A 27,373-nucleotide genomic window follows, 5' to 3' on the forward strand; every position below is an offset into this window, starting at 1 on the left:
TTCCAACAAGTCAGTCAAGATACTGAGTACAGTATTTTCCATTCTATATCAGAAGGATAAAATATTAGATATTTATCCACATCTATCAATAAGAATTAAGTACACTGGGCCTAATACTTCTCACACAATGTTTTAAAAAATCCACATCAATAAAAAGACAATATTCATAAATGTAAGGTTTATATTCAAGTGTGGATTACACAACCAAGGGAGACAAATGATGGAACAGAGTTCCGAGACCTGAGTTCTAAGCCCTTCGCAGTAACTAATTAGTTTTATGTCCTTAGGTAAAACTAAAAACATCTTGGGCCTCAGCTTCTTCAATCTACAAAATGAGGCAGTCAAACTATGTGATCTCTAAAGCTACATCAGTTAAACAGTGTGGAAAAGCAAATGCTTGTCAATGCCTAGAATATACTATACTATAAAAAGTGTAACTCTTTGGGGTGGTATCAAACAACACAATATAAACAAATCTTCTCCCTAAATTTGGAAGTGTATTTCTTACCCATCTAATCTCCAAGTTTATAGCTATTACCAAATAAAACCAGTACTTGGGAATTAATATATTCACTGAAATCTCATCTGCTTGTTGCTTATTTTTCTATAATATTTAAGTTAAGGAAGTGCCTCAACTGGGAAAATGCAGCATGCCCAATATAATTACTCTTTCAAAAAATATTTATTGAACATTTAGCCAGGCATTGTGATAAGTGCTAAAGATGTAATAAGGAACAGGATAAGCACAGATCTTCCCTAGTAACATTTACAGACTAAAGACACAGAAGCAAACGGGGAATTTCAACACAATGGGGCAAAGGCCAAGAAGAAAAAGTATAGCTTTATACCGTCAAAAAAGTATATAAATTCACCTTTCTGTCTCTTAAGGGAATAAATACTGGATATAGGAATTAAATGTGTCTCCTATGAACAACAGTGCACTCAGGATCCTGCCTGATGTGGAAGCACAGCTAATATTAGCTTTTCTTTATTCTCTGTCACAAAACAATAATGTAACATGTGGGCTCAACAGTGATTATCTCTAGTATGTGAGTCCATCCTGAGAGTGCTGGCCTGCGCTAGATTTGACATGTTATCCCTACCGTCTCAATGTGAATATCTTTGGTACTTCTCACTTCTTGCCATGATGTGAACAAAAACTGTGATCTGTGTCTTTGTCCTTGCTTCTCTTGGGGCCTTCCTGTCCAAATAGAAGTTTCTGACTATCAGTCTCTCTGGTGGAAACTCTTTCAATACTGCCACGAATTTGCCTATCTGGGACACTACATGATCATTTATTCAGATACCAATCCCTGACTACTTTGGCTAGAAAATCCTGGAAATCTCTTTCTCCATTACCCTAGAATATAACATCTCTCATCATGTGTATGCTGTCAACAAAATTACTCCAGTCTGTCCTTTCCTCTGAATGTTTGAACAATTTTCTTAATTCAGACTCTCACTCTATCTCACTGTATGGGAAAAGCTTCTTAACTGGTTTCTCTACCTCAAATCTTACCAACTCTAATCTACCTTTCACCTCACTACCAAAATATAAATATAAGCATGCCATTCTCCTGTTCAAAACTCCTTTGTGATTCTCCATGCAATGTAGATCTGAATCCAGGATCCTCAAAATGGCAAACAATGCTCTACTGGATGAACTTAATCCCTCTGGAGCCCCATCCCCTGCCATTCTCTGTGTCATACCTTCATATTTTACTATTGCTAAATCATTTGAGTGTTCTTTGCATTCATCAAATTGCTTCTGTTCTGTGCCTTTCCTAGAACTTTGTTCTTTGCATGTTTGCTCTTTGCTCTTTACCTGGATGGTTTCAATATTCATCTGGGACATCAGCCTCCATGGCAGCTTCTGCATACTTCTATTACAGCTCCTGCTTGTAAGACTGAAATTATCTGCATATTGTCTGTCTTTCCTAAAGACCAGGACAATGTCCTGTTCTTTTTTTTTTTTTTTTTTTTTTGAGATGGAGTCTTGCTCTGTCACCAGAATGGGGTGCAGTGGCACAATCTTGGCTCACTGCAACCTCTGCCTCCTGGGTTCAAGCAATTTGCCTGCCTCAGCCTCCCGAGTAGCTGGGACTGCAGGCACGTGCCACCATGACCGGCTAATTTTTTGTATTTTTAGTAGAGACAGGGGTTCACCGTGTTAGCTAGGATGGTCTCAATCTCCTGACCTCATGATTCCCCCTACCTCGGCCTCCAAAAGTGCCGGAATTACAGGCGTGAGCCACTGTGCCCGGACGTCTTGTTCATTTTTTATGCCCACAGCATGTAACAGCATCTGAGACGTAGTAGTTTCTCAGTAAATTCCATTAAGCTGAAGAAAACATGGCCTTACCATACCTTGTTAGAACTTGTTACAAAAACATACCCCTCATCTACGGAAACTGCTTACCTGGCATTCCTTAATGACCATGTGATGGTTAACACTGAGTGCCAAACTGATTAGACTGAAGGATACAAAGTATTGAGCCTGGGTGTGTCTGTGAGGGTGTTTCCAAAGGAGATTAACATTTGAGTCAGTGGGCTGGGAAAGGCAGACTCACCCTTAATCTGGGTGGGCACAATCTAATCAGCTGCCAGTGTGGCTGAAATATAAGGAGGCAGAAAAATATGAAAAGACAGACTGGTCGAGCCTCCCAGCCTACATTTTTCTCCCATGCTGGATGCTTCCTGCCCTTGAACATTGGACTCCAAGTTTTTCAGTTTTGTAACTTGGACTGGCTCTCCTTGCTCCTCAGCCTGCAGATGGCCTATTGTGGAACCTTGTGATCATGTGAGTAAATACTTATAAACTCCCCTTTAAAAATAGATCTATTCCATTAGTTCTGTCCCACTGGAGAACCCTGACTAATACAGACCATCTCAACCCTCTTCCTTCCTGTAATTTCTTATTATTACCATTCATTAGCTATTTTACCTGTAAGTATAGTCCAACTCTCAATTGGACTTCATAATTTTATTATGCCACCAGTGCCAACAAAGCAACTGTGTGCAATCCCCACCCAATCCTTGTTTTCTAGAATTAACACTAACAGAACAAATTCATTTGGTAGATTTATGAAAACAATTACTGAATGCCCTCAGAGGTCCTTCTAATACTGCAAGACGTCAGAATGGACTATCTGAAGAGCAATTCTACTTTCCATATAGTTTTTTGTCCTCTGATTTCAGATCTTATCTTCAATACTTATAGAGCTGTCCAGTCATAGTTCATGGGAATTATAGTACTGTAGCCCATCAATAACCTAACCCATCTTTCTAGCAAATAGATTCAATTCCCCCTTAGTCAGTTGGTCAGTGTGGTATTTTTCATCACAACCCGTTTACACTGTAGAAGGAACAGTTGTCTCATGCAGTAATAGAAGGGGTCTGATCAGAAGTTCAATCCCATTAAATGATAAGGGAAAACTGCTCACAAGCTCCCAAATTAAAGAGCTATGATTAAGAATCATCTGTGGCTCTCATAGTTTAACTGAACTACTGCAGTGAAAGCTTTCTGTTCAGAAATGATAAAGATTTTAACTTGAAAGAAAATTCTAAGTACATTGCTCTTGTTGTCAGAATTGTAAAGCTGAGGAAAAGAAAAATGAGAAACGCAATATTAATGCACAACAGAAATTTCTGGCCAAAACATTCTGAGACAGCAAAACGTGTATTCTAAATTCCCTATTCAGGTGGCATAAATACAAATTTGTATTTGTTTCTATCAAAAATGGCTAGAAATGCACAGGTTCACTGTTGTTAAAGTCTAATGCTCAATCACTATACTTTCATTTTCTTGTTAAGAATGCTTTGTTTTAGGAGGCTTCTCTAATGCATAGTTGGCCTTCAAAGGTAAACTTTATCTTTCCATCACCTCCCACCCATGTCTTACTCACCAATCTCAGGGCATTATCTGTGGTTACTCAAATATTCTCATCTTCATGTCATTGTTCTACCCAAAACTAACTAACTGGAGAACTACATATTTTTGCAAGGCCAAGTTTAAATATTGCTTTTTTCCAGAAGCTGTCTATGACATGCTGGTAGCATCATACCCTCCCTTTCTCCCAGCACAAACAATAGAATTAGCTCTTCCTTCTTCTGTGTTCCTTTGTCAATGTTCACATATATCTATAATCTGGTTCTTAATATTTCAACAGTTTTACTTTCCTTTATTCTCTCTTTCTAGGCCTACATATTTAACTTTAAAATGTTAAAATAAGAAACATGGAGATTCCCTAAGTGGACTGCAGTGATATCTTCCCCTGCAATTAAGCATTATAGCTTCATATGTTCAGTTACATAACAAAATAAATAGCTAAACCAAATAGGATGGCTTAAAGATCATAAATATTACAATAACTTTAGGATTTAAAGATTAATTACCTTGCTTTCTGCTAACCAGCGATGTGGGTCATAATGTATATCAGGACCAGATGAAAAAACCTACAAAAGAGAAAACAGTCGATTAGAAATACATTTTTCTCTGACATAAACATATATAAATGAAATTCTTCACCACAGTATCCAAAAGTTTAGTTCCCCAATTTAAGGATTTAAAAAGAAAAATTGTTGCCCCAAATACTCAACCAGTTCCAAACTAGCATTCATTTATATGCCTTTTTATGTATGTATTCATTTATTTATGTATTGGCAATAAATATTTTGATGGAAAAATCAACTATCAAGTGCTATCATTGCTAGGATATATGGAGGCTGATTCTGTGGAGTTCCATATGGCAAACAGCTTCAATTAAAGTCAGTTTATTTCATTTCTGTTTGTTTCCTCTCCTCAGTCGTGTTCTACATAATGTACTTCAAAGAGGGTTATATGTGATTACATGGAAACAATTCTCTCTCATTTATCCTTCTTTAATTTAATAGTAAAAGGGCCATTTTGTCTTATCAATGATTGTCAATAGACACAAACTCATCGACATGACTTCACGCAAACATTGCCTTGTATTTCAATAGTTCATCTGCGCTAGCTGCTTTGACTTCCTTCACGCCAACTCATTTATAAAATCCCTTGCATCTGGTTTTGTCATATTACTAAAGTAAAACTGTATTCAAAGTTGGCAATGACTTTATAATTGTAAATACAAAAGTTTTTTCTCAATTTGTACTTTTGTTGAACTCTGTGCTACAAATAATATTTTTGAAGACCTCTTTCTCAAATTTGCCTGTTTAAAAATATCCTCTCTCTCTACAAGGAGAAGTCTATTCCTATTCTCAAATACCTCCATACCTCCTGAGCTGTGTGCACATTGCTTCTTTGTCAGGAATATCATTAGTTAACTCATTTAGACAAATGCTGAAAGCATAATGAGTGCCCACCACATATCACATATGTGAATATTGTATTCTTATATCCAATTTTCTCTCATCCACCTTTCTATCTAAATCTCACCCAATTCTCATATCCTCCCTGCCTTTTCAAGGAAATTTTCCCTAATCACCCGAGTTCACAGTATTTCCTTCCTCTTCCAGTTCTCTACTACATTGCTGAATATTTGCATACATCCATTTGTCATTGATTAGAATACACTTTTATTATTCTTTTTCATTCATGAATGTCATACATGTCAATTAAATCTTCTGTGGCCTAATAAAGATATTAATGTTTAATATCAAAGTATAAGATAATTGGGTATAAGTACAAGTAATGTTCACATTTTATTATTTGCTTTACAGATTTACCTATAGCTACATGTTTAAGAAGATAGCCTTAACCTGCCAGGCATGGTGGCTCACGCCTGTAATCCCAGCACTTTGGGAGGCCGAGGCTGGTGGATCACCTGAGGTCAGGAGTACAAGACCAGCCTGGCCAACATGGTGAAACTCTGTCTCTACTAAAAATACAAAAATTAGCCGGGCGTGGTGGCGCATGCCTGTAATCCCAGCTACTCGGGAGGCTGAGGCAAGAGAATTGCTTGAACCCAGGACGCGGAGGTTGCAGTGAGCAGAGATCGTGCCATTGCACTCCAGTCTGGGGGACAAGAGAGAGACTTTGTCTCAAAAAAAAAAAAAAAAAACCATTTAACGAACGGTGTCAGCACAGTGTCTGGGACAGAGAACACAATAAACCACTGCTACTGCATATCAAGATGTCACTATTAATAAATAGGCTTCAAGGCCTATTATGAAAAAAGCACTATAACAGGCATTTGTCATTAAAAATATAAAGAAAGAGAAGCCATATGTATTTGTGAACATGTTACTAAAAGAGGCAATACAAAATAATGATAGGTAACATTACTTGAGTATCCACTAAGCGCAAGATATTTGACCCTATAATAGCACCTTCTATATCTTACCTCACTTTATCTTCTCAATGAGCCAACTTATAACTGGGGACATGAACTCTTAGAGAAGAAAGAGCTTACATAACTTATCCAAGGTCATATATTAGAAATTTGCAATGACTTCCAATATGAACCTATACCTGTCTTGATCCAAAGCCCATCGTCTTCATGCTCTAAAACTGAATGAATACTCAGACCAAGTGTTATGGAAAGAGAGAGACTAAAATAAGTACAGTGCAGAACTAATCTATTTACTTGAGCTCTTGGATTATCAAAAACTGGCCTGTGAGAATGATACATCTTAATTCAGACACTTTCCTAATTGTTTTACAATTGTAGTGTACGTCTGTCCTTCATTGTCAAACACATACATTAACTAAAGTGGAATAAGTAACAAATACAGTGACTTGAAAAAGAAAAATGTAACTAAAAATAACATCAACATTCCCAGGACTTTTCTCAAACTCATTTATTACATATCTATTTTCTAATCTATTCCATAGCACTGTTACTCTTTACATACAATGGCTGAAAATCTCATCAGCAATATTTCAAGAATCAATAAATGACTAAGTGGAATTATTCCTTTTTTGAAAACATTTTACATGATTCTTCCACACTCTCTCAGAACTATAAACTACAAAACAAACATAAATTTTATCTTTACCACACCCCTGGGTGGTTTCTTAAGCATGTTTCTTGAGTGCTATGTTCTTGAGCATTCCATTTTTCTTTCCCAGGTTTACAGCAATAAAACAACAGAAGTTACTAATGAAAAGAGGCCCACAATGAAAAAAATGTAGACTCTTAAAAAATTAATAGAATTTCCTTTCTTTTAGATCTATTTTCCACCCAAGACTTGGATTGAATTAGTCTTTCTCTAGGGGAAGAAGTGTAAAACCCATTACCACAGTCACTCCATGTCTGAAAGCCTATAAAAAATTGGATGCTTCTTGGAATATATTGGAAGGATAATTTGTGACTCATAAAGAAATAAAATATTTAAGCAATCTGCTATCTGCACATCATGTATTTGCCTGCAATTGCCCATAACAAACTGTGTATATATATGCACATATGTGAGTGCATATATATAGGTGTGTGTGTGTGTGTGTGTGTGTGTATACATATATATATCTTACAACATGATCCAAATGTTTCCATTTTACCTTCCTACATGACTGAAAACAAACCATGCTGTTACAAATATTTAAATATAGAATAAATATTGCATTGCTAATATATACTTCTTCTAGATAAAAATTAGGATTTTCAAGGCTCCACATTCATTAAATAAACGCAAATATGACAAGTCTTAAATTTAAAAAGCAGCATTAGGAAAAAAAAAAAGTTAGAATTATCATAGGCCCTACAATAGTTCTAAAAGAGTTAGTTTTCCCCCTAAAGCCAATTACTTCTCATATTAGACTCATAGTCTTTTCAAAGTAACACTTGAACTTAAAAAAAAATTGTAAATGGGAATACATATTGTAAAAATTCCATCAACTCTACCAAATTCTATTAGTTAAAATATTTCCATTAAAGACAAATTCTAAAAATGTCTTGACTGCAAGAGAATTAGTTATATTTTCCTTTAAACACAATTTAAGATAGAAAAAAAGGCAGAGAGAAAGAGCAAGAAAAAAGAGGGGAACATAGTAGTATGAGAAAGGAAGGTCATTCTAGAAGAGGAAAAAGACTAATAAATGTCAAAATCAATAGTAGAAACTGCTGAAAAATAAAAAGCATTTCAGCATAATATCACAATGTGAATGCCATCATATCACCAAATGCAGTAAACAGAGGGGTAAATGATGCTAAACTGTAATGTATTATGGCTACACATATCAAAACAATGTAATGTTCTCTGTATGTAAAATAGCAGCAAAACCTAGAGCTGACAGAAGTGCTTACCTGCAAGGAATTCAGAGCATCCATGATCACTTCTGTGTTTATTTATCATTTTACTATGACTCTAAATTGTGTAGCAGTATTCCATTTGTTAAAATAGAAAAGCTAAATTAAATACAGCTGGTTTAAACAGGGAAGGCGGATAACATAGTGGTTATTAATTTAGGTTCCAGAGTTAGACTCCATAGGTTTGAAGCCCTAGTTTAGCATTTAACCAGATGTACAGCCAAGGGCAAGTTACTTAAACCGTCTAAACCTCCCTTTCTCTTAAGTGGGTTTAATCAGAGTAACTAAAAGATAGGGTTGTTTCAGAGGATAATGGAGAGACTAAAGCACCATGCATACTACAGTACCTATACTATAGTACTCAATAGATGTTAGCCGGTAATATACCAACAACAACAAAAATAGCCTGCGATAGTGAAAACTCAAATTCCAGGCCTCTTGACTCCAAGGGCTACCTCTCTTATAAGATTTTTCTTTTTTTTTTTTTTTACAGAGTGAGACACAGCCAATTCAATGAAATAACATCATTCGTTCTCTCACCACAACTGTGCAATAGATCCAGCGCCTTATTCTAAAAAATGCAAAATGTTATTTTGTTTTATAAAATTTTCCATAATAATAATCTGACTACCACACATGAAAATCCTATTACAATTATATATTAGGAAACTAACTGAAAATATAAGGTGCAATGAGAATTCATAATTACTTTTAATTTCTCCACTGAGTCCTTGGAGAATGTTTTACAAGCTGCATCAATTTCCTTTCCTATCACACCAAGAATGGATTCCTGTTCAGTCTCCAAGCAAAGAAGTTGATCCTTGAGCTGCAATCTGGCCTCTTCCATCCTCCTTAAGTGCTCCTCTTCAATGCTTATATGTTTTTCCTAAGGCATTGAAAGAAATTAAACAAGGTGATTACTATTAAGTGGAGGCAAGAAAATACTTGTAATATCTGTTCAACCAACTAGAAGTGGATTTGAAAAGAAATCTGATTCCATCAGTCCCCTTACTTTACCAAAATAAAAACACTTTAATCTACTCATTAACTGAGGTAAAATTATAGAGTTCCATCGTAGGGCAGTTTGGGAACTGGTGAGAAGATATCTGGCAAACAAAATTATAATAAGTCCCTAACCAAAAGAAAAAAAGAAGTAGAAAAAAGAACCTTTTCCCATTTTAATAATATATTCTCAGTAATGAATGAGAGTAAAAGATGATGTCAGACACTGACTTCAAGCTTTCACTGAACATTAGTAAAACACCAGAAAATATAAACTGCTAAATATGATGCTAGTTTCTTCATTTGAGGAAAAAAATAAGTGTTACCACCTTTATCTCACCAAAACATAGCTTTAGAAAAATTCTAAGTTTCAAATGCAATTGCATTTACCACATAAATGCTTTTGAGTCGTGAAAATTTGATAAAAGAAAGATGAAGGTACTTTTCATCTTGTCATTATATACTTAAAGAAAAGGGAGCCCTTTCAGAGATTACAAGGACTTGGGGACCCACTCTAGGCAAAAATAATTCTAAATCATTATGATTATACAGTTACATTACTAGAGAAATTCCAAATGCATAGGGCTTGTAATAAAATAAAAAAATCACTAGAATTGTATGTCTAAATGGTGGACCAAATCCATGATGGCTAGCTATGACACCTTCAGTCATCACACTGTAACCTAACCATCTTCAACTGGCCTGCTAAATACAACAAAACCAGGAAAATTATGTGAGCCACAAACCCAACCTGAACTGAAAAAAAATAACAAGGAGATCCACTCATTAAGAATTAATCATGAAAGCTAGAATGATATTTTACTAAAAGAAACATAAATGATATTTCCTTTCAATTCAACTTACTTTAAAAACAAATGAAACATCCTCTGCCAGGAAAGACAGACCCTTTCATAATCTATCTTCTGTACTTCTCTCATGCCTCATCTTCCTCCTTTCCACTCTGCTGGAATTTGATTACTTACAGCATCTTAAATCTGCCTACATATGTCTCCCCAGACCACATCTGACTTGTACAACTCTGCTTGAAGTTGTGCTACTTCAAAATGGGGCTGGTAGCCAAGAGACATTTATCTCCAGGAGTTCATCTTAGTCCATCATCTGGGTCTGGATCTCAGCTTTGTAAACCTAGGAACTGGAATTTCTTTTTGGTACTCAGAGAGGTACTTTCAGCAGCAGAGTAACATTAAGCTCACAAGAGATTAATGTGTATGAACTAGAAAGCCACTCAATTAACTACATTCATTTACGATGAGACTCATAACTACCATATGAATCAGAATGTCCATGTCAGCATAACCAGTACATTTTCTCCCTATAGACAGATCTAGATGGGAAGGCAAACTATAATCAGACTATAGGTTAACGAATAGGAAATTAGAGCAAGGGGAGTTTGTTTTATGAAACAATGTTCAAATGGCATCCGGCTAATGAAAGTCCAGCATGTTCACCACACATCAGGAATTTACAAACCACAATAACAGGAGTTTCATTCTTCTAGGTAGTATTTGCATGGAGGGTGCTGAGGTGTATCTCCCTAACTTTCTTGTTTTTCCACATTGAGTTTCTGTCCAAACTCTCCCTACCAATTAATACATCATTTCTTTAGATTGATTAATATTTTCCCAAGTCTTGCTCATATCTAGGAGTTTTCTGAAAAATTAACATCCCAGCTCTGAACAGTATTTGATAATTGTATCATTTACTCATTAGAAAGCAACATTATTACTAAGTCTCTAGGTGATATTTGCCTCCCTACTGTTCCTGTGTATCTACCACCTATACCTTCTTATCCTTCAAAGTTTATCCTTTAAGATGCTGCATTCTTTCTTCCTGAACTCCTGAAGCAAATCATTCCCATAGTATATTAGGTATATCATAATTTTTTAATTTTTTTCAAATTGTAATATAATTATTTGCTTGTGAACCTATCTCCCCAAATAAACTGTTAATTTCAGGAGTCCACAAAACAAGTTTATTATCATCTTTAAACTCCTCCACTTTGCTGAATAAATGATTTAAACATTTTTTGAAGACACAAATTCAATATGTGAAAGATGATTTCATCAATTACCATGCAGAGCTTATAACCTTGGAGGCTACTGAGGTGTCCTAGGAGGTTTCTCCCCACACGTACATAAGGCCTCCTGATGGTGCAGTATTTTCATGGTCTGATAGTAATAAAGAAAATAAATACCCTATCAGAGACTACCGATGTATTAGAAGACTGCCCATATTTTACATCTAAGCAATTCAAAATAATGTTATAATTGATCTTTCTTTTCTCACTTCCCTCAAAGCCAACTCTCTTTCATCCACTACTACTTTTCTGTGGTCTCCATTACTTGTCTCTTATTAATAAGAAGACAAAACTACTTCAATCTTTTGATATTCTTGAGAATGTTGATATTGTCAGAAAAATCTCTATAAGTTCGGTCTCTTTAGAAAACATAGAAAATTTCATTATCCGGCCGGGCGCGGTGGCTCACGCCTGTAATCCCAGCACTTTGGGAGGCCGAGGCGGGTGGATCATGAGGTCAGGAGATCGAGACCATCCTGGCTAACAAGGTGAAACCCCGTCTCTACTAAAAATACAAAAAAATTAGCCGGGCGCGGTGGCAGGCGCCTGTAGTCCCAGCTACTCGGGAGGCTGAGGCAGGAGAATGGCGTGAACCCGGGAAGCAGAGCTTGCAGTGAGCCGAGATTGCGCCACTGCAGTCCGCAGTCCGGCCTGGGCGACAGAGCGAGACTCCGTCTCAAAAAAAAAAAGAAAAAAAAAAAAGAAAATTTCATTATCCACTTCACTATCCTCTGTGGGACAGTTGTATGCTATGTCCAAGCTCTCTTTGAAGTAAAAGCTGTAGGACTATGGGCTCACATGGATCTTAAAGATCAGTAAATTCAACTACTTGCTCCTTCAGGATTCCCTTATTTGGCATTTTTGACAGTTGAGTCATCCAACCACTAAATGAACACAAGTGTCAAGGAACAGAGTACCTGACAAAGCTGTAAACTCTCTCCATCAGTGTCCAAGCTATATGCAACAATTAAACTAAACAAACAAATCCTTCACCCCCACTAAGGCTTCTAAACTTCCAGGTAAAGATTTCTGTTCCTTTCCCCTGTTTTTTATTTGATTAGGTTTCAGACACATAGTGGTCTCCATTGTCTGCATGTACTCCAAGATCCTAAATCCAAGAGTTAAGTAAGCTCTTCCACACCATACTTCAGCAGTTATAATTTCATTCTTTCATTCATTCATCCCCCTCATCCAACAAATATTTACCTAAGTCCTATTCTAGACAAGACATTCTCATGTCCACTAAAGATGGAGTAAGTGATTGCTTCTCGGCCTTCTGGCTAAGATCGAGTGTGGAGATAGAGTAAACGACACAGACAGGCAGGCTCCTACTCTCATAGAGTCAACAAACATTTGCATGAAATGTCATTACTTTTGTCCCATTCATCTGGTTTGGGCATATTTATTTGAACACTAATTATGGTACCCAATGAAGTAGCGCTTTCTCGCAGTTTCATGTTTTAGAAATAGATGTGCTGACTAAGCAAGCACAGCTAATTCTGGGGGAGGGTTGGGGCTGGAAATTGGCTGAAGTTAATCCAAGTATCCTGTTAGATTTAGAGGCATTCAAATAAGTAACGGCAGATGATAATATTTAGGCACTATTAAGGCTATTCCCTGGTCTTTCAGTCAATTCAGAGGGGGCAATATCCCCTGATTCTACAAGATTAACAAAAAGTTACCAAATTTCTAGAGAACCAGAGGCAAAATGTGGTATATTAGAGAATGATTCAAAATATGGAAGACACAATCTAACTTCAATGTTTCAGGGTGAAAGGACACAGATGCCTGGAGCTAGGGAATGTAGGTAACTTCTTTTGGAGGGTAGGGAGGAAGGCAGATGAAGCTAACTACAGCAGTCTATGAGATCCAAGAAGAAAGATATCCTAGATAATGGCTGAGTTTGAGAAAGAACCCTAGAGAATAAACCAACCCCTAATTTTACATTTTAGGTAACCAAAGCGCAGACAGACTACATAACTTGACTAAAGTGAAAGAACCTATTAAATACAACCCCATAACCTGATCCCCTGACTAGTCTTCTCTCTTAAAATGCTAGAAAGGCTGAGGCCTTAACATTAGAATTTAGAAAAACAATGTGAAAAATTCAGAAAAGTTTTCAGCAAGTTATGTGAGGACTAATGTCCTAAAGTAGAAAGGAGAAATCAAAAATTAAATTCTGAATGAGCCTTATCATAAATGAAAATATATGACATATTGACATATTCAGAATAGACCACAAAATCAAAAGCACACTGAACATGCATAATATCCCAAACTTTTAAAGGGGCTATCCATCTGCGCTGAAGAAGTACCTGTGTACACATAAAATCTGCTTTAGTCCAATTTTCAAAAGTGTGCTAATCACACACTGAACAAGGTATAGTTCCATCGTCAAGACAGGAAAGGTTTTATGAAGCTTCTATTTTAGGACAAGAAAGGCTCATATTGTTGACACTTAAGTATAAAGAAAACGTAAAATAAAACTGCTGACAATCTCATGATAAACACACACACACATTCTGTTAACTGGTTTGATGAACTGTCCTATAATTCAAAAGATAAGAAATGCTGTTGTAATTATAGATTTATGTTTCAGCATGCTCTTTACAACTCAGAGCATTCACTTTCCCAGAGGCTCTAAAGATTATAAGGAGATAGATCTTATCAGAAATATAAAAGCTTCAATAACACAAGAGCATGTCCAAAATAGTATCTCTTTGGTAAAAGGTTATGAGATTCCTTCAATGTCTTAAGAGTTCCAGAAATGCCACTTTATTTAGAATATGGCTATTACATGAAGTAAAAACAGTTCATCAAACACCTTAAACAGAAATATTACGTTAAATAAAGTACACTGACATGACTAAATAAATCATTAATTTACAAAGGTAATTAATGGTTTTCCTTCACTGAAAACTAACTTGAGTCAGCAAATGTGACAATATTTCAGTCCCAAGGCCATCTTTACATACGTCAACAAAGGGTAGGGGGAGATAGGATAAAAGGTAGAGAAAGAGAGAAATCAAATAATATTAAAGGCTGAAATAAAAACGAATGCAATTTAAGCAAAGTTACTGGAAATACAGCTTGTTGAACCTACTGACATGCACACATCCCCTAAAAAGTTTTGAGGAAGAATATTTTCATAACTCAAGATAAAACTGTTATGCCTAAGCTTTAAATCCAGGACACTAGCATTACAAGGCAAATTATGAAACTATCCTGAACAAAAATTGGATCTGTCTGGAAACCATTTATCTGACTCTCTAAAGAAGGCCCACATTTTTATACCAACAGTTGACTCAGCTGCAAAGAAGTTAGGATACAACATAAAATGTCAACCAGGGCAGAAACTACAAGGGCAACTAAATGAGAAGATATCTGCGATGGATACTATAGGAAACTTGGAAATAATTTAAGCTGGAAAATTACCACACAGCAGTTTCAACTGTCTTACAAAATGGCCAAAAAAGAAAAAATAACACATCAAGTGCTGGTCACATCATAACCACTTTTTTCAAGCTTATTTCTCAAAACTAGATTTTTACGTAATGGAGAGCTCCTTAAACTCAAAACTTGTCTATATATGAAATATCTAGACTGATATCAAAAAATAAACAAGACAAAGCAAAAATAACTCTAAAATCAAGAGTTCAGATGAGTTTGAAAAATCTCCGTGGATTTACCCTACATATATCACTTGCCCTCTGGGAAACCAACTCTTCTCAAGAATATACAGGAAAAGGAAGGTGAATTCCTAACTCATTATAAAAGTCCAATAACACACCCCTCCTTCCTCACCCACATGGTTGTTAGAACAGTGAAAGATTACCTGAGTTCTTGCACAGGAATATTAGGTGCCCCTTCTCTGTGCTACCACAAGAAGTTATGATTAATAGTGCATTAAGAGCATGTGAGAGCCTTAGTAAAACAATAGAGCTAATAGAAAAAAGGAATGGCAAATGGGAACACTGGCCATATGATTTGATGCAGGTTAAAACTTAGGTATGACAGGCTTTGCAATCTATAACCTCTAAAATTTAAATTTCTGCTCTGCCACTCACTACTCTGTGTCTTCTATGTCTGTCTCCTCATCAGACTGTGAGTACCTCTAATGTGAAGATCTTATCCTTCTTTATTTACATATCCCAGCCCCTACTAGACTGTCTCACATAGCAGTCATTTCATAAATCTTGCTAAAACATAAATAAGCTTTTATGTTCTACTCATTGACAAGCATTTTTGAGCACATTAAATGTGTCAAGCATACAACCAATACAACAATTTTTAAAAATTATAAACAAGAAAAAAATTTTAATCTCTGAACTCAAATAACTTCTCGTGCTACAGTAAGTTAGTTCTCTTTTGTTGCCACAGTTAATTATTTAATTCATTGAGGACAATCACCTTGTCAGTGGCGAGGCTATTGTAACTATCAAGACAAGACGATATCACAATAGTGAGAGCCCTGGAAGTGGTAAGAAGTATTCAGATGCAGAATCAATTTTAAAGTAGAGTCAATAAGATCAGCTGATGAACTAAATATGGGTCCATGTGTGAGAGAATGAGCTGATTCTTTACATGTATTTAACAAGCAAAGGAACACTATGATTTCTACTCTAAGATTGGTTTCTAAAACAAAAATGCTACCATTTTGTGGGTTAGATACACTGTCTTCCTTCTCCTCTGATAAGTAGAGGATTGCTTTATACTATTTCCTCCAAAAGAGGGGAAGAAGTTATGATTAATAGCGTTAAGAGTATGCAAGAGCCTTAGTAAAACAATGGAGCTAATAGAAAAACGGGATGGCATATCAAAACACTGGCTTTAAGATTTGATGCAGGTTAAAACTTGGGTGTGAATGACTTTCCAATCTATAACCTGGTCTTAGGCAGGCTTACAAAAGTTTGTTTCCATAAACCAGAATCAAAAAAATGGAAATTCTAATTCAAACTTTTAACCACATTTAAAGAAATCATTCTGCCTCAGGCTTTTCATTGTCTTTTTCTAGGAAAGTATTGAGCAATACAAAGACGATGAACAGCATAATCAGAACGTGTTAGGATATGTATTGGATACGTTCCTAGAAATTAATATTCAAAGTTGAAATAACAAATACCTTCTAAATGATACTTTATGCATTCATTAAGTTTTATTCTTATTACATATTTCTCTCAAGACAAATGCCTGGAAATAGAAATAACATCCATAATTTAAAAATCAGCCAATTTTGATGCATTTCTATTTCTGAAATGAAATATGGACAAGGGAACAAACAACTAGAGTTTCAAATTATGCATTTGGAACGAACATTGTTTAATTTTCAAAAGAAAAAAATTATCATTCATATTGAGAGAAATGTTTATAAGGTTACAGTGTCTTTAATAACCATCAAGATTTCTTCCTCTTTTTTTTTTTCTTAAAGGATACTGAATTTTATTCTGAGTTGTTTTTTTTTTTAATTATACTTTAAGTTCTAGGGTACATGTGCACAACGTGCAGGTTTGTTACATATGTATACATGTGCCATGTTGGTGTGATGTACCCATTAACTCGTCATTTACATTAGGTATATCTCCTAATGCTATCCCTCCCCACTCCCCCCGCCCCACGACAGGCCCCGGTGTGTGACGTTCCCATTGTTCAGTTCCCACCTATGAGTGAGAACATGCGGTGTTTGATTTTTTGTCCTTGCAATAGTTTACTGAGAATGATGGTTTCCAGCTTCATCCATGTCCCTACAAAGGACATGAACTCATCCTTTTTTACGGCTGCATAGTATTCCATGGTGTATATGTGCCACATTTTCTTAATCCAGTCTATCATTAATACTTTTCTTATGAAAGAATATTTTTTAAACTTAAAAATGAAAGTCCAAATAAAATAACCTGTATATAACAAGCACCTCTTAGGTGTTTTTCCTAAAATTTATTGATTATTGCTTGTTCAACATTAAACAACAAAATGAATTGAGTCAATAAACAATTTAAATGCTGATGAAAAAAAAACTCAATGAAAACAAACCCAGACATTCACTTTATGTTTCCTTTTAGGGTCAACCAAAGCCAGCTAAGATTGCTTAACTGAAACAGATATGATACAGAACTTTCATGTTGCCTATTCCATCGGCTTTTTTCACCTCAACCAATGGTATACACCATTATTTAGCCTGATACCCACACTACAGGGATCACTCACAACTGTGGAAGTAAATGAAATCAAGCTAATAGTAAAGGATTTTAATGGAAAGTGCAGAACATGTTTGCCTTCTCCTCTAGACCCTTGTAGTTATCAATCCCTCAGTGAGTTAAGGATTTAATAGCAGGCCTCTCAATCAAGTCCAAGTCAGGAGTGGGTACAACTGGTAAACTTTGACTTTACTCCTGTAATTCACTTAAAATCAACCTCTTTGATTGTAAATAGTTGGTAGGAAAGTCATTGCCAATTGAGTAATTTCAAAACGGCTTCATCATAGCTGTGTTCTAATTCAGAAAGTAGAAACCAGAAGTACTTCTATGCACCTTTATTTTTTTCCCTTCTCTTTGCCACAGCTGCACATATAAATGCATCCTCTCCCTTCCCATTGTATATTCACTTCATTTTTGCATTCTATACTGTTTTCTTAACATCTGACATTACATTTCATAAATGGGAAGCACTCTGTTATTTCAGCCTATTCTCTGTAAAAGTCAAGGAGTACTCTGGGCTTAATGGTTACATGTGATTCAATTAAACATACTTTAAATGAAAACTCCTAAAAATGTATCATTTGCCTTCAACCATTTTATTATTTTTATTATTGTTTTTATTAAGAAGATGGGAATCTTACAGGAAATTACTCATAACATCCTAGTTAGTGTTTACTTAGAGTATCTGGTTTAAATTTGCTTCTAAATTAATGTGTGGTGACTACAACTTTATTCTACTCACACAACTTAAAATATCTGTAGCACCAAAAAAAAGACCACAAGCTGCCTAAAAATGGTCTAAAGTGTAAACATTAAAGTAAATGCTAGAAGTCAACAGCTCATTTGCTTCTATTTTTCTGATTTCTCTAGAAAAATCTGAAGTCAGAAAATTCTGCCTGCTACCATCAAATACCTCTTAGTCAAAAATGTGACAATGTGACTTTGCAAAGTAGTGAATACTTCATAGAACAGACATCTGAAAATCATATATATTTTTCCCCATCATCAAAAAATAGCAATCCTAAACAGATGGTTAAATTAGAACTGAAACACAAAGTTTAAAAACACTGATTCACTGTTTCCTCTCACAGATACGTTTTATGTGGAAAGTTCAGGTTTTAATTAGATTTTTCTAACAAAATCATTGACGACTCACATTCCAAAATTTGTCAGACCAAAAAATAAGAGTATATGGTAATTTGTTGAATGCAATAACCCTAAATTTAAATTCAATGCTAAGAGTTCAATGAAAAGAGAGTCATTTTGCTGGCAATAAATAAAGGAGAAGAATACAAGGACTGTATGCTTATATCCTGTTTCTACCATGTTTCTATGCAGTGTTGAGCAAGTCACTATATTCTCTCAACTTCAGTTTCTACCATCTGTAGAAATGGGCACCATAAATACACTTGCAAATGTGAATTATAACTACCATTTTTTAAAGATCCATATGTTGTATAAGAAAACGATTTCAAGTGTTTTTATCCAACATAATGACAGCTTTAAAATGTTACTAGGTGTCACTTTATAGATGACTTAAATAAATCTTTTCATGGGAAGGAACAAAAATGCATTTCTATGCATCCTGATCTATTCAACACAAGTTCCTATCAATTGCTATAGCCTTAGATGTCTCATAATTTCTGGTCTTAAACTATCTCTTAATTGTTTCATTGAAGTTTTTCTCATCTTCTGAAAGAATTAATAGCAGAAAATAAGGTCCTCTAAAGAGAACTAAGCATAGCTATTGAAACAAGTAAGTATTAAATGAGATAGCTCAGTGTCTCCAATTAACACTGGCCAGAAATGGTTCTTACTGATTCTGATCAATGGAAAGAACAGGACTGGTAACCCTGAGTCCTATTTCCATTTCTACCCAAGGATAGCTGGGAGCTCTTAGGTAAGTCAGTTAACTCTTTGGGCCAGAACCTCATCTATAAAATAAGGTATTGGGAGCTGACCTTCTGTTTAAGATTATGTTTAAGCTGACCTTCTGTTTAAAATTCTTATAAACTTTAACACTGATACCAAATGTTTTTTGGAATTACTGATATGGACAGTACACACGGAAATATGGGGTAGAAGAGGGGCAGCTGCCCACAAAGGCTGCACCCTCAAGGCTGGAAACCATGGCCCTAAATGAGAACAAAAATTCCTGTTTTTGTGCCCATAAGTTGCCTTTTGGCCCACCCATCCCTCTATCTGGTACCCATATAAACCCCAAACCCCTGGCTCCATGAGCAGAAAAGAAGATGAACAGAAGGGCAGAAGAATGGCAGAATGGTGTGACAGACAAAAGAGAGGAGCATCTGAACATCGAGAGGAGTTACACTGGGGACGGTTGGAGAGGAGATCAGCTGCTGGATGGCCAAACTCCAGGGGAAGATCATCTTCCCACTCCATCCCCCCTCCAGCTCCCCATCCATCCTGCTGACAGCCACCTCCATCACTCAATAAAACCGTGCATTCATCCTTCAAGTCCATGCGTGAATTGATTCTTCCTGGATGCCGGACAGGACCTGGGTACCAAGAGAGCACTGAGCTGTTTAACACTTAAGCCATCTGCAGATGGCAAGGCTAAAAGAGTGCACTGTGACACATGCCTACTAGGGCCTCAGGAGTCACAGACACCCACGCCTGGATGCTACTGTGGGGCTGGATCCCAGAGGTAGTTGCCCCAACTCCTGCACCTGCCAATCTGTGTGCTCCCCCTCCCATAAGAGGTTTCAGTGTGCATGGCAGCCCAACAGACAAGCCACAACCCTGTTGCACATCCTGCAAGGGGGGTCAGGGAACTCTCTCCTCTCATTACCAGCTTTGTCTCAGTAGTCCAGTGCTACCGTGTAAACTCTGAGACAATGCTTGTTAAACAAAAGGTAATACGTAGATTTTTCAGGGGCAGAAAGACTGAAAAACTCCTGACGAACTTGCAACATTGTCAAGGCTAGCTAACTAAAGGCGTAAGACAGCATCTTTTGTAACAGAGGAAGCTCCATGTACGGAGGTGATTATGGGTGGATTAAAGGAGAAAAGTAAAATGAGGGTGGCAGGTATCTCTGAATTCCTCCAGGTTTGGGTACCTAGTAACAAGAAACATATTCTCATAATTCCGCCTAGAATATCCAAGAACAAGATATTCTATATACCTATAATTTCTCAGATTCTTGTATATATAAAATGAAAATCATCAGTAAAATTAAATTATTCCTTCACTAATACTGGAAAATAAATGTCTTTATGGTGTTTGTGTTAGACTTAGGAAAACAATCTCATAATATTGCTATCATTTTCTTTATAAATTTTTCTCATTGTATATAAATACATCTGCACAAAATATTGTATATATTCTTTGATAAAACAGCATTTATAAAACATAAGGATGAAGAAAACATATGCAGTATATAAAAAATAATTTATAAAATAATGTCAATTTTCAGTGTCAGCTATTTTAAAAATATACAAACATATTCAAAATTAAAATCAATTTTTTAAATATATCTACTACCAAACTACTTGACTTTACAAAGACAGCTGATGTCATTTATAAGCTCATAACTATTTGCAAACGAATTTTTTTAATTACATAGGGTGCAGATCCATATAGATCAGGCATTTAAAACCTTCATTACGTAAACTTTAATGCTGACTGGCTGAACAAAAATGATTCAATTATGCACTAACACTTGTTGATTCACAGATTCCAGTGAAACTAATAAAAATATATTTCTGATAGAGTAAACAGGTAAATGTCACAAAAATCAAAAGATTAATATCAGTAAGATTCTTCTGAAACAAAAGAAGAATCAAATATTTCACCATAAAATGTAAGCAAAAGGAACAATAAATTTTAATGATACTAGGGATGGGAGAAAATTCTTTCTATAATATTTCAGGGTAGCTTTTTTGCCCTGGTTAGAAGCTAGTAATAAAAGTACCAAATGAATATGTAAAAATCTGTGGGTTGCATAACACTCGTTCTCTTTGTCATGTAAAACTGAAAAATAACATTTGATAAAGCAAAATCAGATGTTAGAAAAAATGCATTTTAATACCATATATCACCACTGAATACATGAGGAAAATATGCTAAAGTCAGTTATTCTGTGGATATTTAGCAAGGGCAGTGTTCTCCCACTGATTAATGCTACCACTGATGCTAATGGTTTATATGAATTTTGATGCAGTTTTAATATTTCTTAGCTTACCAGGTAATAATAACATGACAAGAAACACAATCTAAAACCACACAGTCAAAATAAAAGCAAGGCTTTAAAAAAAAGGCTGTGTGTATTGGTAGCCTCAGTAACATCACACATTGATGTTGAGGATGGGCATGCAAAAATACCACCTTGTTAAGCAAATTAGAAAGCGTCCACCCCTTTTGATTGTAGCAGAGCTGTCCCTTCAACCCATAAGGCCTCATTTATCAAATTCATTGCATTGCTTACATGGTAATCTTCAGGCTACTAATCACTGGGTTTTCCTTCATTGAAAACATATTTTTATTTCGTTTTCTTGCTTTTATCTGCCCCAGACTGGCCACCTTATACATGTGTGTATGTGTATCCATATTTCTTTACATATATACATATGTGTGTGTGTGTGTGCGTGTGTGTGTATGTGTGTGTGTGTGTATACACACATACCTCTTTGTCCATAATTTACTTATAAATTACCTACTATGTGTCAGGCTCTGTGCCTGGTCTTGGAGATGGAAATATGACCAAGGTGTAATTCGTCTCCTCAAATATCAAGCATAATTATAAAAGTGCCCACCTGTTTGGTTTGCTTAACACATGTGCCTTCAATATCACTTGCTGATGAACCAGCCAGCTCTTTTCACATGTGTGCCTCCTCTGTTTCAAATGATTCAACATAGTCTGGTTCTAAACTTCCCATCAGCAAAGTTCTGTGGCTTTATGATTAGGTAAATCATAGGCACATTATTTTTATTACTAACACATCATTAGGCTGACCGTAGGCAGTCATTCCATATATGCCAATTGGTTGACTGCTTGGTTGAACCAGTAGTCAGCATATATTTGGAAACATAACAATAACAAAATAATGGCAGCTACCATTAACTGATATCTTATTAGATACCAGATACCATGCCAAGCACTTTACATACATCCTCACACTTAATCCTAATAAAGGTATTATTATGCCCATTTGAAGGATGATAAAACTGAGGCTTTGAGTTTTAAATAACTTGCCTAAAGCCACGCAGGTAGGAAAGAATTCAAAGTTTTACGCATAATCATTATTGCTATACTATCTCTCAAAGAGAAAGTCCCTATCTGTAGTTGGCTCAATCCAACAAAATTTTGATTCATAGCTAACTATAAATGGATCAACACAAACAGCTAAGTTAACCTAAAGTACATAGCAATCATGTACATGAAAACTAAATATTAAAGATTAGAAAGCATATAAACTACATATAATATAAGCATGTTTGCGTGTGTATCGTTAAGATTATATGCCATTTTAGGATACAGAGACCATCTTTTCTCTGCATTAGCACCCATTGTCAAGACTTGACTACATAGTTTTAACAACTGAAAGAGATTTTGTTTTTAAAAATCCCACTATGTGTTAGCCAACAACAAACATGTATCTTATCTCTGTCCTATCCTCAACATCCAGCACAATGCCTGCCATATAGCAGATGCTCAATACATAGCAATATTAAAATAAAATCATTAATTCTTCAAGTTCTGTTCTAAAGTGAATGCTCCACTTATATGAATGCGTGATAACACATGCATCTGAAATATCATAAGCAGAATCTGTGAAGCAGCATGTATTTTTTATTTTTTTATTTTTTTTGAGATGGAGTCTCGCGCTGTCGCCCAGGCTGGAGTGCAGTGGCACGATCTCGGCTCGCTGCGACTTTCCGCCCCCCGGGTTCAAGTGATTCTCCTGCCTCAGCCACCTGAATAGCTGGGATTACAGGTGCTCGCCACCACACCCGGCTAATTTTTGTATTTTTAGCAGAGACAGGGCTTCACCACGTTGGCCAGGCTGGTCTAGAATTCCTAACCTCAGGTGATCCGCCCACCTCAGCCTCTCAAAGTGCTGGGATTAAAGGCATGGGCTACCATGCCCAGCTGACATTTTCAACATATCAAATTTTTCACCACTATTTCTTAAATGCAGCTATGGAAATATAAAACACATTAATGCAATCTTCTGGCTAACTTCATAATTTCATAAATTAGAATTTTATTTTGAAAAAGTTGAAAAATTTAGCATTATCACCAGAACTACAACCTGCCAATAGATACATTAAATACATGTGACCATTAGACACAATCAAAACAAAGCATGACATAGAACTAAATGACAGCTGTTTTCAAGACTATAGGCCTAAATTTAGCAACATAAGCACATTTAATCATAAACTCCTAACTTACATTTTATTTCCTTGCTTTACCAATTACTAGAGAATTTATATATATATTTAATTTTATATTTATATGTAATTTTTTTACTACTCTATATATTAATATATATTAATTATATATATTATTATATATATTAATAGTAGCAACATCTTATACACAACAAAAAGCGGAAATGTAAGCAAAGCACTAAGAAAGTTTCTTCCTAGAAGTTTATGAGTAGTTTTATGACAATCCACCCAGTGCTAATTCCTTTCATCATAGATTTAAGTAACCCTGATTGAGCACATACGTGCATTCATTTGGCCCATGTATATAGTGTCTCATCCTATTAACCATACTTTGATGGTCATTTTTTACATTTGACTTCTATTACCTTCAATTTCAAACCCTTTTAGGAAGTGGGTGAAAGAGAAAACAAATTTAAATATTCTGTTTCCTATTCTTAGTTGACTTTTTGCCACAAGAGAACCTCAAAAGTAGTGACTTCTAAAAATATTTATTATTCTATCCAACACAATATATGAAGTCACTCAATAATTTTACACATCTACTCAAAGGAAAGCAGTGAGCCTGGTGGGGATGTACCAAAGTTACAACCTTCTTACCATGAGAATTAATAGTTACAGTGCCTACCTACCACATAAGTGAACACTTAATTAGGTAATTTGAACCTCAGTTTTGTCACTCAAAAGGGAGCAATAAAACCTAATTGCTACAGACTGAATGTATGTACCCAAAAATTCATAGTTGAAACTGAATCTACAATGTGATGATAATTGAGGGTGGGAGGTGATTTGGGAGGTGATTGGGAGGTGATTTGGGAGGTGAATGGGTAGAACCCTTATGAATAGGATTAATGCCCTTATAAAAGAGACCCCAGAGAGCTCTCTCTCCACTTCTGTTATGTGAAGACACAGCAAGAAGAAGCATCTGTGAACCAAAAGGCATGCCCTCACCAGACACTGATTCTGCCAGCACCTTGATCTTGGACTTCCCAGCCTCCAGAACCAAGAGAAATAAATTTCTGTTGTTTTTCTTCTATCCAGTCTATAGCATTCTGTTATAGCAGCTCAAACAGACTAAGACACTAACTCAAAGAGTTGTAAGACTTAAATGATGGATAGACATAGGTCAATCAGTTGGCATAAATATCTGACTTATAGTAGATCCTCAATAAACCATCATTCCTTTTTTTCTACTTCATTTCTAAATTTCTATTTTAAGACAGAAAAAATTTAAAATCAAATTCTTACCCTTCAAATGTATTAGAAGCTGAATGGGTGGTTGAAAGAATAAAAATCACAGCATTCTAATAAACTGACTTTTTTGGGGGGCACCAATACAACTTCCCTGTGAAGGACTACAATTATCATTTGTTGATATATAAAATATTTTCTAGAGGAAATTAAAATTGAAATTAGAATTTGAAATTAGAATTCACTCATATTTTTACCCTTTCTTCTAGTTGATCCTTCAAACATTGATATTTTAGCTTCAGTTTTTTGTTCTCATTTTCATTCTGGGTTAATTCCTCTGTCAGTCTGTCACACTGTGATTTCAACTTCTCCAGCTGACCACGATGAATTTTAGCCATATTCTTCTCTTCTAAACTTTCAGCCTGAGAAAAAGAGAAGGAAAAAACAGAAAGTCCACTAGCCATAGCCAAAATACACCAAACACATTACATATTTTATCAGTGGAAAAACACTGCAAGATTTCAGCTCGTTCAAAGCATTCATATATAAATATTAAAATAAACACAAAGGAAATGTTCTTTGCAGTTATTCAATCGCTCATCAGTATTTACCAAGCATTTACGAAGTGGTAGATACTGGACTAGATGCTAAAGATAACAGATATGAATAGTAAGAGAGTCAGATGCAACAATCTATTTGACAACACTGAAAGAGAAGTGCTTATTAAAGGTGTAAGCTGGATATTTTGGAAATCCAAAGAAGAGACACCAGCTCTGCTAAGAGGGGAAGGAGTTATTAGAGAAGTGTCCCAAAAGGGAAATACTATGAGATGTTACTAACTGATAAGTTCCCTCGTCTATAGATGGGGCTTAACATTCCTGTTCACCTTCACTTCTGGTTTCTATGAAATAATGGTGTACTTTTTATGTAAGTCATTATCAATACTACTCTTATGGGGCTAAAAAAATTATGAAGTATAACAATCAAGAAACTACAAACTTAAAATGAAAAAGTTTACCAGTTATTTTTTCAACATCAGTAGTGTAGTACAATATCTATTTATTGATCTTTATTTAGGGTATAACCAGAACCAGCTTTTAAAAAATAAACTTTGGAAATAATCTATTCTATATAGGAAATTCAGTAAAGATTTGTCAGGTATGTGAACTTAAAGAATTTTAAAATAACAATAATGTAAACACTATGTGCCAGACACTGCTCTAAGACTTTTCTGTATACAGTTTTTCCTCATTTCATCCTCGTAACAACCTGTGAGAATCAAATAAGGTATTATGATTGTCCTTATTCCAATAATAATGAGAAATAAAAGCAAGCTAATCACTTGCCCAAAGATACACAGTGAATAAATGCAGAGTCAGGATTTGAACCCAGGAATTCTTTCTAATGTCCCTGCTTTCAACTACGCCACACTTCCTCCCAAAAGGTACAATATCATTAGGTTTTAAAAACCAACTGGGTGCAACTAGAAATGCTAACAAAACACACCTACCAGTTGCTGACAGTCTGTAAGCAATCACATTTAATCTGTTTAAAATATATGCTTTAATGCCTAAAATATATGTTTCTTTTATTTTTATAAGTTTATCATATGAGTTTAATTAGGTATATAGGAACGCAATCAATGGAAACAATTTCCTGAAAGAAAGAAGTTTTGTGAGTTTTAGACAAAATCTTTATTTTATTTACCCCACAAAATTTACCTGAGAGCTGATGCCACATTAAATTAACAAAGAAATTGATTTTTTATGAGCAATCCTATATTCACAGCCCAAAATAAATTTACAAAATAAAATCTCTCATCAGGAAAATTGTTCAACTATGATTTTAAGTTTCAGTAGAATGCTTTTACTTTTCTTTATGTCCTAACAAAAGCATAGGTAAATACAAAGAATTCCCCCTAAAGTCTGTAGTGTGCTGCAGCCAGCTCATAGAAACTGTCAAAGCCAACTGGGCTCTTCTCTTCCCAACTTCACCCCTCCCCAATGATGTCTCATTTGATAGCTTGAAATCAGCCAAGAAAGGGGTATTCAGAACCCCCAAACTTGGCAAATGCTATAAATCAAGGGTTTTCCACCCACCGGAAGCCTGTTTTCAAATATTTACCAGCACACCAATGCGAAGCTTGACTAACAACTTACTTATTGTTGTGGTTTTTATTACGTTTATATTTCATTTCAGAATTTACAAAGTGATGTTTGTGCACAACAACCCAGTGATATAGAAG

At 35.5% G+C, this 27,373-nt stretch overlaps 1 protein-coding gene across 16 annotated transcripts in view, besides 1 other annotated feature; it reads right to left on the reverse strand.

The window, feature by feature from the left end:
- The window catches only part of CEP128 (centrosomal protein 128), a 482,534-nt gene that overhangs the window by 275,528 nt on the left and 179,633 nt on the right, over positions 1–27,373 (reverse strand). For all 16 annotated transcript variants that reach the window (NR_157142.2, XM_047431023.1, XM_011536493.3 and 13 more), the window contains 3 exons: positions 25,386–25,550; positions 8,941–9,117; positions 4,396–4,455 (listed from right to left, as the gene is read on the reverse strand). Coding sequence is in view for 15 of the 16 variants with exons in the window: in XM_047431023.1 (XP_047286979.1) it covers positions 4,396–4,455; positions 8,941–9,117; positions 25,386–25,550 (402 nt within the window). In the remaining variant the exon portion in view is untranslated. The remainder of the gene's footprint in view (positions 1–4,395; positions 4,456–8,940; positions 9,118–25,385; positions 25,551–27,373) is intronic.
- Positions 11,282–11,451: an enhancer, noted in NCBI's record as "experimental_37742 CRE fragment used in MPRA reporter constructs". NCBI's record gives its function as "activates a minimal promoter by MPRAs in K562 erythroleukemia cells, with activity observed for the introgressed 14:81230207 variant allele {active_cell/tissue: K562}" and the evidence as "EXISTENCE:reporter gene assay evidence [ECO:0000049][PMID:34662402]".

This window comes from Homo sapiens, chromosome 14 (assembly GCF_000001405.40).
Source record: "Homo sapiens chromosome 14, GRCh38.p14 Primary Assembly".
Lineage (NCBI taxonomy): Eukaryota > Metazoa > Chordata > Mammalia > Primates > Hominidae > Homo > Homo sapiens.